Raw genomic sequence first — 15,647 nt, 5'->3', positions numbered from 1 at the left:
CAAAGTGTTAAGAGTAGGCACTCAATAACTGTGGAATAAAACTGGTTATGTTTTTGTTTTCATTGTAGTATAATATTTTGACAAACATCAATACTTACAAATTCTAGAAGACTGAAAGTCCTGGGACTATTATGTTTTACTACTTTGCTTTAGTCATATACCAACATTTGTAGGTGTACTGCTGTTCTAATCTGAATATTCATTTTCCCTCTTTCCACATAATGTTTCCACATATCTTTCCACATAATGTTAAAGATTGAAAAGTTTCTTAAAGATATGCTCTTTTACCACTAAATGCCAGTTCAGAGTCTTCTCATAGGTTCTAATTCTAGACCACACATGTACCCCATACATCAACTTCCTTATTTACTTCACATACAACCTTTTTCTAAGGTAATTTTCTGCATGAAATAATCTCTGTGTAAGTAAACAATCTGCCAAAGCTATACTTTAAATTACTATCCTATAGATCCCATCACACTGAAGTAAACATTAGGAAATTACTTTCCTATGTCTTAGCCAGAAATTCCAAAACTGTTAATTGTAGACTCTCACGAAGGTCTCAAAGCTATCACAGGGGGTCTGTGAATTTAAAGCACAAAAAAGATTGACTATAGACCAAAAAACTAATGCTTCTCAAACTTTAATGTAATGCTGTTTTTCAAGTGTATGCACTGATACAATAAGGTAGAAATTTATATTCATAGTGTTTTGTCTATCCTTGTATTTTTTTCTTTCAAAGTCTATATAATTTTTTGCCTGAGAAAGGGACCACTATTTTTTGAGAAAGGTTAGGAAACACATAGCTATGTAACTTTAATCACAGGCTATTTTATGACATTATTTTTGTCTATTATTATCTCAAGCTATTATTTTTTTCTATTGTTAAGTATTCTAGAATATTGTGAAAATGGGGGAATGGCCTTCTCACCTATATATAAATGAGGGCCACTTACTAAAAAATCCTTCATTAAGTACTTACTTTTAACAAAGTTCTAAAGCTGTAAATGAGACAACATATTGACATGGATTTAATTTTGAACCTTGTGAGCAAAAATTTTATTTTACAGTTAACTTTTTTTATTATAGTGACTCAAAAATTTTGAATGTTCTGAGCTAGATTTCTCAATGGGATGATAATAGGAATGGGGTGATAATAGGAATTGTCCACGTCTATATTAACCTAAGTCCCTAAAATATGATTACATCATCATTCTGAATACTTAGTATTAAACCCACATTATAACACAGTATGCAAAAACCAAATACTTCCATAAAGCATCTTGTATTTACCCCTTCACAACACACATTGTATTGTAATGGCCTGTGTTTGTGTTTCCTGCATAAGATGTAAACCTCACTAAAGCCAGGACTGTATCTTGTTCACCATTATATAACACAGTTTAAGAACCTTCCATGTACAATGCCTCACCTATAGTAGGCACTCAAATACTTGCTAAGTGAGTAACTGTAATATGAAAAGCTTAAATCATAAAGAGGGGTAAGGGAAGAAAAAACCTTTCCTGTTTATATGGTATGCTTTCTGTTTTCTTTAAATGATCCTTTGGGGAACTAAGTTTATATTCATTTTATCGCTGATGAGCTGCAAATTAAACTTTGAGTGACTTCATGACATCAAATCAGAAAGTAACTGCTTAACATTCTGTGCAACGTACAATGTACTATGCTAAATACTGTAAGGGGAATGGCAGTATATTACAGTGCCCCTCTAAGAGCTTTCTGTTTAACTGAACATATTATATAAACAGTTGACAATTATAAACAGCAGTAAGGTTTTTCTAAAGCTTAAGAGATGTTAAAACATTATGAGGAAAATGACACATGAGTAAGGACCTATTTTCTGAATTGCACAGGTGCTAATGCAGCCAGGAAACACAACAGGAGCAAAGAGGGGCCTGGCCTTATGCATGGAAGCTGAAGGACTGAAATTTGCATTTGATCATCTTCAACTTCTGGCACCTGTTGTCGCAGTTTTCTGAGTGCCCACTGAGCTATCCACAAGCTGGCCTCCTCTGAGGAGTACAACACTCCCAAACTACTTCTCTCAGCTTCCACCTAACTCTGCAGAACTCCCTTCCTTTAGCGAGACCAAACTTAGCTAGCAGTTAGAGGTCACCCAACTGTGCCAATTCCTACTAAATTGTAACAGAAAGCCCCCAGACCTCTGCAATTGAAAAAGAATCAGCCATACTTACCACCACTAGTACAAGAAGAAGGGTCCACAGCTAGCACAGATAATTTGTGCCCTCTCTCAGTAAGCATTTTTCCAAAATATTCTATAAATGTTGATTTTCCAGCACCAGGGGGCCCAGACAATCCTACGGTGGAAAGAGATCTTCTAATTCAATGAAACAAATGAAATCAGAACTACGATCAGTTTTACTGAGTAAAATATTAGACTACCTTCTATTTCCCCTAATGTATTAAAACCACAATTAATATATTTCAACATGTCCTAAAATGGCAAATAAAAATCTGTTTCTTTAATTCCTGAGTAATGGGGCTATAGGAAGGAAACACCCTGGGTTCCAAATGTTCACAAAATTCACTTTTAAAAACTACAAAACATGCTTTGCCTTTGTACTATAAAGTAGATCTTTCTGGACAGACTTCATTGTCTCCATTGTTAATGTGCTCAGTTTCTACATCTGCCCACCTCTCATCATGATCAGTAATTATTCTACCTACCTCAGTTCTGTATACTTCTTCCCACTGGAAAAACAACTCATTATTCTAGAAATTCCCAGTGATTGAGAAAGCAATTTTCTATTTATAAGGGATCATCTTTTTTCTTCATCTCACTCATAACTCAAAGAATATAAACTGAATTCTGAAAAAAATAATTTATGTTAAGAAAAGCAGAAAACTCCCCCACTTGGAGAGTTGGCAGTGCACGGCCGGTAAGAGCACAAACCCTGAAGCCACGCAGCCAGTTCTCATTCTAGCTCTGCCTCCCACGAGCTATGTGATCTTGGGTAAATTACTTAACCTCTTTCTATGCCTCAGTGTCCACTGCAATAAAATAGATATAGTAATAGTACCTCTCTCTTCAGGTTGTTTTAAGAATTAGATGAGTTAATGTCTGCAATATGTTTAGAACAGTGCATGGCATAAGAGACATATAAGTGTATGTTAAATGAAATATATAAAACATAGACATTTAACTAACTACACTCAAAATATGTATAGTGTATGGGATGCCTGACTCTTTACCACAATTCTTGGGGCAGATCCAATACTATCTTAAACACCTTTTTAGGTGCTGAATAAACATTTGTTGCTTTTACTTATGGTGGTGAAAAAAATAACTGCAATAAAGACAGGTTTATCTGGCCTCATAAGATCAAGATGGAAGAACTGGAATAGCACTACAAAGTTATCTGTGAACTGCTAGTTAATTCCACACATTTCTGAGACATTTTTTCACAGATTCTCTAAAATCTTAGTAAGTAGGCACTTTGTCATACCTAGAATTTCTCTGCGGGAGTTTGCTATTATCTTTGTTTACCATACATAAAGATTATTAACATCCAAGGTAGTACTCTCAAAATGAGAATCCCTCAGTAAGGGCAGAAGATTAAGAAGTCTGAAAAATGGGGACTGGTATAAATATTGGTTGGTGAGCTATTTTGAAATTATCTTAAAGCATCTATGCCCATTAACCTAAAAACTAGGAGGCTTTTGTGTCTGCATTGCCAATAAACTGTGAGACAAAGGTGTAATGTAACATGAAATTTTAAAAGTATTTACTCATTCTCCACAAAATTTTTGCACTTTAACCACCAAGACAAGTTGTTTTTAGCACGAGGGTTGGTTCAAATCACCTAGTTCACCACCGTGGGACATTCTCATTCCACCTAAACTGGCTTGTTTAATTCCTGCTGGTCAAACATATCTAAATTGTTTTACAATGCACAATTTCAAAAACAATTTCAGAACCAAGTCAAATTGTTCAAGAAATCAAATGAACATCTAATATACAGACAATAAATAAATATGATCTCTTTCTTAAAGTACATTTTGATAGGCTGGGCATGGTAGCCCATGCCTGTAGTCCCAGCACTTTGGTAGGCCAAGGTGGGAGGACTGCTTGAGCCCAGGAGTTTGATACCAGCCTGGGCAACATAATGAGACCCCATCTCTACAAAAAACTTCTAAAAAAAATTAGCCAAGGATGATGTTGGAGGCATGATATTGGAGCCAAGCATGATGTCAGAGCTATGATCACCACTGCATTCCAGCCTGGGTGATAGAGTGAGACTAAAAATAGCTGAGCACAGTAGTTCATGCCTGTAATCCCAGCACTTTGGGAGGCCAAGACGGGTGGATCACTTGAGGTCAGGAGTTCAAGACCAGCCTGGCCAACATGGTGAAACCCTGTCTCTATTAAAAATACAAAAATTAGCTGGGCATGGTAGTGCATGCCTGTAATCCTAGCTACTCGGGAGGCTGAGGCAGGAGAACTGCATGAACCTGAACCCAGGAGGCAGAGGTTGCAGTGAGCCGAGATCGCGCCACTGCACTCCAGCCTGGGCGACAGAGCAAGACTGTCTCAAAAAATAAAGTACAAAAATAAAAAATAAAAATAAATAAAATACATTTTGGTATTGAGAAGGCTGGGTTTACAGTCACTCCGAGAAACTCAATAAAAAGTACCTGAAGGAAGTGAGACTTGCCTATAGAAAGACTAATGAAATACCTAAGAGGCAGAATTTTCAAACGTGATAATTATAGTTGATACGACAACAAAACAGGGAATTCACTTTAAACTATTTAAGCAGAAGGACTACTAAAAGAAAAAGGAGTAAACTCACTAGTAGTTCTTCCTATGAATATTTCTGTCCTGGGATCCAGAGCAAGATTCTTGCCAAAGTAAAAATCTTATATTATTTTCTTAAAATACATAGCCTTGGTTCAAATGTCATGGCAATTTTTTCAACTTAACAAAACTAATATTTGCCAGGAAAACTCATTTAAAATTCATCCAAATATTGTGAAAAAAGTCGCCATTCGATTGCAAACTATTTAGACTTTTTTTTAAAAAACAGAATACAGAGAATTTGTAAAAATATTTACTGAGAAAACACACAAAAAAGACTGACCTACTCGAAATGCTAGTGGTTTTCCTTTATTTGATTGTTCTTGTTCTCTGTGGTAAAGTAATACTTTCTGAAGAAGCACCTGGGCTAACTCCTTTTTCCTGCTGTGAGTTGATTCTACAAGAGTTATGGCCTCTGCTAAACAGGCCCTTTGCCCTTGGATTAAACCAGTATAAAGTTTATCCACAAATCTTTGCTCTTTATCAGAAAGTCCTTCTGTGTGGTCCTTTAAGGTTGTTTGTACACATAATTTTCTCTTTAAGCCATCTGACAGCAGCATCCACTTTGTACAATGGAGTCCAAGAGAATTAAACGGCTGAGCACATGGGATTCCTGATCCGAGATGAGTACTTGAGTGAAAGATGAAGTGGTAACATCGGAAAGGTGCTCTTAAAAGGCCTTTTAGGAAATGCTGGTGAGGATGTGGTAGCAGCATGGGCATATTCGTTTTATTTGTAACTGGAGAAAACACTGGATGCGTTTTGGCTCAATGTGATTGTGACCTCCCTAGAAGAAAGAAAAACATGTTAGCCAGTTCGATATATAACTAAAATACTGAAGTAGTAAAATTTGAAAGCCTAGTGTTTCCCCCATATTCTAAACCACACATAATCAGAGTTTTTGGTAGTACAAATGGGTGAAAGTTTTCTTACTAAATAAACTTAAAAGAGAAGACTCCCTCCATGGCCACAGTTAATATTCAGAGTAACCCGAATAATGGAACTACTACTCTACTGCGAAGTGGAATTTACACTTTTTCTTCTAATAAAAACAATATATAAAATACCACTAGGGTAGAAACTTTATGTTATGCTTTCTCTTAAATTCGTCTTAACAGTTTCCTCAGGTCAATACACCAGATTCTGAAGCTCATACAAAAGGTTAAAAAAAAAAATGAATCTCTCTGATGCTGGCCTTGTATTCACTCTCTACAAAAAGAAATGTGATTACTACGGTGGGCACTTCAGGTGTAAGTTTAGATACATGTTTGTATTCAGTAGACTCATCCTTGAACACAGATGTATGCAAAGAGTAGCCTAACTTAAAGCACACAAACAAGCCATAAGTGAACTGTAGGTGTATCTCAAAGCATAGTCAGAGCCACCTGGGTGCTTATTTAAAATGCACATTCCCAGCCCCACTAATCAGAATCCCTGTAGATTCACACTAAAGTTTGAACCACTACGAAATTAGATAAGGATCTTTTTTTTTTGAGACGGAGTCTCACTCTCTCGCTCATGCTGGAGTGCAGTGGCGTCATCTCGGCTCACTGCAAGCTCCGCCTCCCGGGTTCACGCCATTCTCCTGCCTCAGTCTCCCGAGTAGCTGGGACTACAGGCACCTGCAACCACGCCCGGCTAATTTTTTGTATTTTTAGTAGAGACAGGGTTTCACTGTGTTAGCCAGGACGCTCTCGATCTCCTGACCTCGTGAGCCGCCCGCCTCGGCCTCCCAAAGTGCTGGGATTACAGGCATGAGCCCCCACGCCCGGCCATAAGGATCTTTTTTATGATGATATACTGATATTCTCTACTTCAAATTGTATTAAAAAATGAAAGTTGACATGGTATGCCGAGTCAGGGCAGTGCAGAGGTTATGAGCCGCGGTCACTATGAATCTCTGCCACTTAAGCCAAAATAACCTTAGGCAAGTTACTTGACCACTCTGTGCCTCAGCTTCCTCTTGAGTAAAGAGAATAGGTAAGAAAGCAGAGTGGTTGTGAGAGCAAAATGACAATTCTTGTAAAAAGCTTAGAACAGTGTCTACCATGCAGTAAGAGCTCAATTAACCTTAGCTTTTATTTTAATTACACCAAGTTATGAAACACTGGTAATAATTCTTCCAGTAGCAAACTAAAATTTACAGTTATATATAACTCACCCAGTTTGGGTTTATGAGTATTTGTAAATTTTGGTTGATTTTCAAGCACCTTGTGGCATGGTGGAATAAATTATTGCTCCAAGGTATACCTGTAAATGGCACTTCAAGGCCGATGAACATGAAATTAATTTTAGCTTCTTAACATTCTATTAGGGAAAAAAGAATAGTTTAAGATTTTTTAAACTGGTAGAACTATAAGTGCTCATCAGTTTTCCAAAAACAACAACTTTTTCTCTATGGGGCGGTGGGGTGGGGGGTGCATTATAATGTCTATTTGTACAAAATTAGCCTTATTCTAAAAGGACAATTAAAAATGTATAAAAGTGTTTCTAAAAAACAATTTTAAAAGATCTAATGTCACCTTTCACACAAACACACAAAAAGACATTTAAAACAAAACTTTAAGAGGGAGTCTACTTTGGAAGCTCTCTTTCAATACCACCTTTAAGCACAATTCTCATCAGCAGCACTACCACTACCAATAGACTGGAATCCCACAGGCAAGAACTGTATTTTTATTCAACCACTATTTTCTAAGAACATACTACTTTTCAGGTCCCATGATAGGTGATAAGAGTAATGGTGACTATAGCAATGGTACTGATGGTGATGACAATAGTATTTGATTATGTTCCAGCCATTATACCATAACCTTCTATTAATATATTAGTTCCCTATGGCTGCTGTAACAAATTACCATAATTACTGTAACAGAATTAGTTACTTAATTACATTGCAAAGACTCTTTTTCCAAATAGGGCCACATTCACAGGTTCCAGGGATTAGGATGTGGACATATCTTTTTGAAGGCCATCTTTCGACCTGCTACACTTTCTTAGGTACAATGCCTCGTTCATTATCTTATCTTAAATAACCTAATCCTAGCACTTCAAGAGCTCACAGAATAAAATACGTGACATCAAAGAAAGAACAAAGTGCCATGGGCACAGACAAGATTACAGGAGCTCACTCTCCTTGGGGAATTCAAGTCACAGAGGAGTTGAAGTCAAGACCGAGTCTGAAATAACAAAAATGTTGAAGAAGGTTGAGGCAGGCTTTCCAGTCTGAGGACTTAAATGTGCAAAATCAGAGTTGGGACTTGGTCTCTTCCCTGTCATCTCAGAGAAAATTAAGAAATTCAGTAAGGCAGAAGCCTAGGGTATATGGAACTACTGATAGGAGATGAGGCTGGACCGGAGGTAAACTGAGGTCAAGAAATTAAATTTTGTCTTGTGGGCAGTGGACAAATGACAGAGACCTTTTTGGAGGTGACATAATCAACTTTGCTTTTGAAGAGATAACTCTAGAAGCAGTGACACGAAGTCAAGAGTGATGAGACTTTTAAACAGAGCCCAGTTCAGGAAGCCTAGCAAGGAACCAAAGGAGATGATGAGGACCTAGACTGAGGCAAGGTATTAAGGAATGGAAAGGAAAAGCCTGATTTAAGACCTTCTTGACCTATCCTATTTTATTAGAATCCTCAGAGTTTGACATGGAGCCTGGCACACTGCAATTGCTTAAATAAAAAGAAAAAAAGAGCTGCTGCTGATCTGAACTTATTTCATTCCCCAAATGCCTGGCACATTAGAGTCTACCAGCCACTTTCAGATATTTTATTTCATTTTATTCTCCAGTTAATTCCATGAGGACAGTACAACAGTTATTATTTTCATTTAACAGAAGGGGGAAAGAACACTGAGAGAGCTGAGTGATCACAGTCATAGCCAGTGGCAGGGCCAAGATTCAAACCCAGGTTGTTTGACTCTCTATGGCAGGCATTACTTAATAAATTATATTAAAATAACAAAGAAGTCCTTTGGCTAAAAGGGAAGTAGATATTAGTAACTCTGCCCAACTTCTGAAGTGAGTAAGAAGTCTTTTCAGTTGCAGTGATGCTGGTGGCATGAGGAGGAGCCAAAGAACAGAGAGAGGAAATCTGCAGGATAGAAAACATTCTTATTACCAAATCTAGTCCTATTGTCCCATAGGGAAGATGTTGTCATATGTAGTCTAAGAGCAAATTAGAACTATTTAAAATATGCTCCTTAATTAACAAGTCCTTACCATGACTACCTCCTATTACCAAACAAGCTGTGTTCAAACAAAGAGTGACAGAGGTGGTCAGGGTCAGAGCACGATAGCAGAATACAAGGCTTCACCAATCATTTTCTACCTGGTTTTAACTTTGTATCACTCAAAGAGGCACAGAAGAGGTAGGAAAAACTGTTTTGAATCCCCAACACCACCCCTCTCCCATGCCCTGGCAGCAGTGGCATGATGCAGAGAGCATTTCTGTGAGATGGGGAGAGGGATAGCAATTCTGAGGCACTGAACTCAGTGCCGCCCTGTTATAGCAGAAAGCAAACCTGAAAAACTCAGCTGGCACCACACACAGAAGGAACTATTAACCACTAAACCAGCCAGAGAGGCCTGGCTGTTCCCAGAGCTTGAAACTTGAGTTTCCTGAGCTCACAGAAGCCTAGCCACTGTGGGTTAAAGTGCTCTAGTGTCTCAATTAAACTTTAATGGCAGTCTAGGCCACAAGGACTGCAACTCCTAGGCAAGTCCTAGTGTTGAACTGAGCCCAGAGCCAGTGGACTAGGGGGTTTCAGGGAGGGGGAACACAACCCAGTGAGACACCAGCTGGAGCAGCAAAAGGAGTGTTGGCATCACTCCTTCCCTAATCCCAGGCTGCATAGCTCATGGCTGCAAAAGAGACACCTTCTTTCTGCTTGAGGAAAGGAAAGGGAAGAGCGGGGAGGACTTTATCTTGCATCTTGGATATCCTCAGTCACAGCAGGATGGGGCACCAGTTAGAGTCATGAGGTCCCCCTTCCAGGCCCTAGCTCCTGAACGACATTTCTAGACACCCTGGGCCAGAAGGGAACTTGCTGCGTTAAAGAAAAGGAGCCAGTCCTGGCAGGATTCATCACCTGCTGACTGAAGAGCCCTTGGGCCCAGCAGCAATACCAAGGTACTACATAGAGGGCCTTGGGTGAGACTCTCAAACTTGCTAGCTTCAGGTAAGACTCAGCGCATTCCCAGCTGCACTAGATACAGGGCGAGACTCCTTCTGCTTGAGAAAAGCAAAGGGAAAAGTAAAGAGGAATTTGTCTGGCATGTTAGGTACTAGCCTGGCCACAGTGGGGTAGAGAAACAAATGGGCTCTTCGGGTCCCCAGTTCCAGGCCTTGGCTCTTGGATGGCATTTCTGGACCTGCCCTGGGCCAGAGGGGAGCCCACTGCCCTGAAGGGTAAGTCCCTGATCAGCCAGCATCACCACAAACTGACCAAAGAGCCCCTGGATCTTAAGGGAGCATCAGCAGTAGTCTGGTAGCACTCTTCATGGGCCTGTGGCAGTGGCAGTCATGGGGTGAGGCTCCTCTGCCTTTGGAAAAGGGAGGAAAGAATGGGAAGGATGCTGCCTTGTGGTTTGAACACCAGCTTAGCCACAGTAGAACACAGCATCACGTAGATTTCCAGAGTTTTTGACTCCAGGCTTTTACTCCTGGATGGCATCTCTGGACTTACCTGGAGCCTGGGGGAACTTACCACCCTCAAATGAAGGACATAAGCCTGTCTGGCTTTGCCACTCGCTGACTGTATAGCCCTAGGAATCTGAGTGAACATAAGTGATAGTCAGGTAGTTACAGTGGGCCTTTGGTGAAACCCAGTGCTGTGTTGGACTCAGGTCTGACCCAGTACAGTTACAGTGGTGGTGACCACAGGGTTGCTTGTATAACCCTATCCCCAGCTCCAGGTGGCTCAAAACAGACAGAGATTCTGTTTGGGAGAAAGTATGGGAAGAGAACAAGAGTCTCTGCCTGATAATCCAGAGAATTCTTCAGGATCTTATCCAAGATCACCAAGGTAGTACCACAGTGTTACTGGGCTTGGGGTGCCCCAAAATGCAGATATGGCTTAGATCAGAACACCCAAGCCCTTTCAAATATTTGGAAAGCATTCCCAAGAAGGACAGGTACAAACAAGCCCAGACTATAAAGACTCCAATAAATACCTAAGTCCTTAATGTCCAGATACAGACAAACATCTGTAAGTATCAAGACCACCCAGGAAAACATGACCTCACCAAATAAACTAAATAAGGCACCAGGCACCAATCCTGGAGAAATAGAGATATGTGATCTTTCAGACAGAGAATTCAAAATAGCTGTTTTGAGGAAACTCAAGAAATTCAAGACACGACTGAATGTGGTAGCTCACATATGTAATCCCAGCACTTTGGGAGGCCGAGCTGGGCAGATCACCTGAGGTCAGGAGTTTGAGACCAGCCTGGCCAACATGGTGAAACCCCGTCTCTACTAAAAATACAAAAATTAGCCAGGTGTGGTGGTGGGTACTGTAATCCCAGCTACTTGGGAGGCTGATACAAAAGAATCACTTGAACCTGGGAGGCAGAAGTTGTGGTGAGCCGAGATCGCATCACTGCATTCCAGCCTGGGTAACAGAACAAACTCCATCTCAAAAAAAAAAAAAAAAAAAAAGAAAAAGAAATTCAAGATACCACAAGAAAGGATTCAGAATTCTATCAAATAAATTTAACAAGGAGATTAAATGCAACTGGCATACTGAAGAATGCATCAGAGTCTCCTAAGACAGAATTGATCAAGCAGAAGAAAGAATTAGTGAGCTTGGGCCAGGCATGATGGCCCATACCTGTAATCTCAGCACTTTGGGAGGCCAAGGCATACAGATCCCTTGAACCCAGTTCGAGACCAGCTGGGCAACATGGCAAAACCCCATTTCTACAAAAAACAAAAAAATTAGCTGGGTGTGATGGCTGTAGTCCCAGTTACTCAGGAGGCCGAGGTGACAGGATTGCTTGAGCTTGGGAGGTAGGGGCTGCAGCAAGTCCTGATCACACCACTACACTCCAGCCTGGGTGACAGAGCAAGACCCCTGTCTCAAAAAAAAAAAAAGAATTAGTGAGCTGAAGACAGGCTATTTGAAAATACACAGTGAGGGAAGACAAAAGAGAAAAGAATAAAAAACAATGAAGCATGCCTCCAGGATTTAGAAAATAGCCTCAAAAGGGCAAATCTAAGAGCTATTGGCCTTAAAGAGGAAAAGAGGAAGTAGAAAAAGAGATGGGTAAAATGTTTATTCAAAGGGATAACAGAGAACTTCCCAAACATAGGGAAAGATATCAATAGTCAAGTACAAGAAGTTTACAGATCACCAAGCAGATTTAATCCAAAGACTACCTCAAGGCACTTAATAATCAAACTCCCAAAGGTCAAGGATAAAGAATGAATCCTAAAAGCAGCACAAGAAAAAGAAACAAACAACATACAATGGAGCTCCAATATGACTGGAAGCAGGCTTTTCAGTGGAAACTTTATAGGCTAGGAGAGAATGGCATAACCTACTTAAAGTGCTGAAGGGAAAAAAACAAATGTACACTAGAATAGTATATCCAGTGAAAATATCCAAACATGAAGGAGAAATACTTTCTCAGACAAACAAAAGCAGAGAAATTTCTCAACACCAAACCTTTCCTACAAGAAATGCTAAAGAGGACACTTCAGCAAGAAAGAAAAGGACATTAGTGAGCAATAAGAAATCATCTGAAGGTACAAACTCACTGGTAATAGAAAGTAAGCAAAAGAATATTGTACCTGTGGTGTATAAACTACTGTTAAGTATAAAGACTAAACAATGAACCAATCAAAAATAACTACAATAACTTTTCAAGACAGTAATATATGAACAGAAACAACAAAAAATTGAAAAGCCAGGGATCACGGTAAGGCAGAGTCTTCATTAGTTTTCTATTCATTTGTTTATATAAACAGTGTTGTTATCAGCTTAAAATAATGGGTGACAAGATAGTAAGATAAGATAGCAAGTCTTACAGTAATCTCAAACCAAAAAACATACAACAGATACACAAAAAATAAAAAGCAAGAAACTAAATCATATCAGCACAGAAAATCACCTTCACTAAAATGAAGACAGGAAAGAAAGAAGGGAAGACCAGAAAACAAATAACAAAATGGCAAGAATAAGTGTTTACTTATTAATAATAACATTCAATGTAAATGGACTAAACTCTCTGGTAAAAAAACATAGAGTGGTGGAATGGATAAAAAAAATAAAAGACCCAATGATCTGTTGCCTATAGGAAGCCCACTTCACTTATAAAGACAAACACAGACTGAAAATAAAGGCATGGAAAAAGTTATTCCATGCCAATGGAAACCAAAAAAGAACAGGAGTAATTAAAATTGTATCAGACAAATAGATTTCAAGACAAAAACTGTAAGAAGAGACAAGGAAGGTCACTAGATAGTGATAAAGCAGTCAATTCAGCAAGAGGATATAACAATTTTAAATCTACATGCACCCAACCTTGGAGCACCCAGATATACAGAGCAAATATTATTGGAGATAGAGAGATAGACCCCAATACAATAATAGCTGGAGACTTCAACACCCCACTTTCAGTATTGGACATATCTTCCAGACAAAAAATTAATAACAAAACATTGGACTTAATCTGCACTACAGACCAAATGGACCTAATAGGTATTTACAGAACATTTCATCCAATGGCTGTGGAAAACACATTCTTCTCTTTGGTACATGGATCATTCTCAAGAATAGACTACATGTTAGCTCACAAAACAAGTCCTGAAACATTCAAAAAATTGAAATAAGATCAAACATCTTCTCTAACCACATTGGAATAAAACTAGAAATCAATAACAAGAGGAATTGTGGTAACTATACAAATATATGGAAATTAAACAACATGTTCCTGAATGAACACTGGGTCAATGAAGAAATTAAGGACATTGAAAAATGTCTTGAAACAAATAATAATGGAAACACATCATACCAAAACCTATGGGATACAGCAAAAGCAGTACTAAGAGGGAAGTTTATAGCTATACGTGCCTACATTAAAAAAGAAGAAAAACTTCAAATAAACAATGCATCTTTTTTTTTTGAGATGGAGTTTTGCTCTTGTTGCCCAGGCTGGAGTGCAATGGTGCGATCTCGGCTCACCACAACCTCCGCCTCCTGGGTTCAAGCGATTCTCCTGCCTCAGCCCCCCAAGTAGCTGGGATTACAGGCATGTGCCGCCATGCCCGGCTAATTTTGTTTTTTTAGTAGAGATGGGGTTTCTCCATGTTGGTCAGTCTGGTGTCAAACTCCCAACCTCAGGTGATCCACCCACCTCAGCCTCCCAAAGTGCTGGGATTACAGGTGTTAGCCACCGCACCCGGCCTAAACAATGCATCTTAAAGAGCTAGAAAATCAAGAGCAAGCTAAACTAAGGAAAAAAGAGAGATGATCCAAATAAATAAATGCAGAGATGAAAAAGGAGACATTACAACTGGCACTGCAGAAATCCAAAGTCTCCTTAGTGCTTATTATGAGCAAGTATATGTCAATAAATTGAAAACATCTAGAAGAAATGGATAAATTCCTAGACATATATAACCTACCAACATTGAACAATGAAGAAATCCAAAACCTGAATATACCAATAACAAGTAATGAAATTGAAGCTGTAATAAAAAGTCTAATAGAGAAAAGCCTGGGACCTGATGGCTTCACTGCTGAATTCTATCAAACATTTAAAGAACTAATACCAATCTTACTGAAATTATTCTGAAAAACAGAGGAAAAGGGAGTATTTCCAAATTCATTATATGAGGCCAGTATTACTCTGATACCCAAACCAAAGACATTCCAAAAAAAAATACCTAGAGGCTTGATATGGTGTGGCTCTGTGTCCCCACCCAAATCTCACCTTGTAGCTCCCATAATTCCCACATATTATGGGAGGCACCCAGTGGGAAATGACTGAATTATGGGGGTGGGTCTTTCCTGTGCCGTTCTCCTGATAGTGAATGAGTCTCACAAGATCTGATGGTTTTAAAAACAGGAGTCTCCCTGCACAAGTTCTCTTTCTGCCTGCCGCCATCCACGTAAGATGGGACTTGCTCCTTCTTGCCTTCCGCCATGACTGTGAAGCCTCCCCAGCCATGTGGAACTGTAAGTCCAATTAAACCTTTCTTTTTTAAATTGCTCAGTCTCAGGTATGTCTTTGTCAGCAACATGAAAATGAACTAATACAAGGCTAGTATTCTTTTGAATACTAAATAAAAAAGAATACCTCTAGTACTCTTTTTTTAGGTATGTCATTAGTTTTGGTATCAGAATAATACTGGCCTTATAGAATGAATTTTGATAACTATTGAGGCAAAAGTCCTCAATAAAATACTAGCAAACTGAATTCAACAATACATTAAAAAGATCATTAATCATGACCAAGTGGGATTTATCCCTGGGGTACAAGGGTGGTTCAACATATACAAATCCCATCCTGGCTAACATGGTGAAACCCTGTCTCTACTAAAAATACAAAAAATTAGCCAGGCGTGGTGGTGGGTGCCTGTAGTCCCAGCTACACGGGAGGCTGAGGCAGGAGAATGGCGTGAACGCAGGAGGCAGAGCTTGCAGTGAGCTGAGATCGTGCCACTGCACTCCAGCCTGGGCGACAGCGAGACTCTGTCTCAAAAAACAAAACAAAAAATATATATATACAAATCAATCAATGTGATATATCATATCAACGGAATGGAAGGCAAAAACCATATGAGCATTTCAATTG

General features: G+C 39.2%; 1 protein-coding gene across 3 annotated transcripts in view; it reads right to left on the bottom strand.

Moving 5' to 3' along the window:
• Positions 1-15,647, bottom strand: part of MMAA (metabolism of cobalamin associated A) — a 40,649-nt gene that overhangs the window by 15,332 nt on the left and 9,670 nt on the right. For 2 of the 3 annotated variants that reach the window (NM_001375644.1, NM_172250.3), the window contains exons 2-3: positions 5,124-5,627; positions 2,217-2,339 (exon numbers count right to left, since the gene is read on the bottom strand). In NM_001375644.1, the coding sequence (NP_001362573.1) occupies positions 2,217-2,339; positions 5,124-5,562 (562 nt within the window). In that variant the 5' untranslated portion in view covers positions 5,563-5,627. Of the gene's footprint in view, positions 1-2,216; positions 2,340-5,123; positions 5,628-7,001; positions 7,103-15,647 lie in introns of those variants that run through there. The other variant, XM_011531684.4, reaches the window with a different exon arrangement.

Source organism: Homo sapiens, chromosome 4 (genome assembly GCF_000001405.40).
Source record: "Homo sapiens chromosome 4, GRCh38.p14 Primary Assembly".
In the NCBI taxonomy this organism is placed as follows: Eukaryota; Metazoa; Chordata; class Mammalia; order Primates; family Hominidae; genus Homo; species Homo sapiens.
Note: the sequence above shows the minus strand (reverse complement) of the source record. Positions and strands in the feature narration are given on the sequence as shown.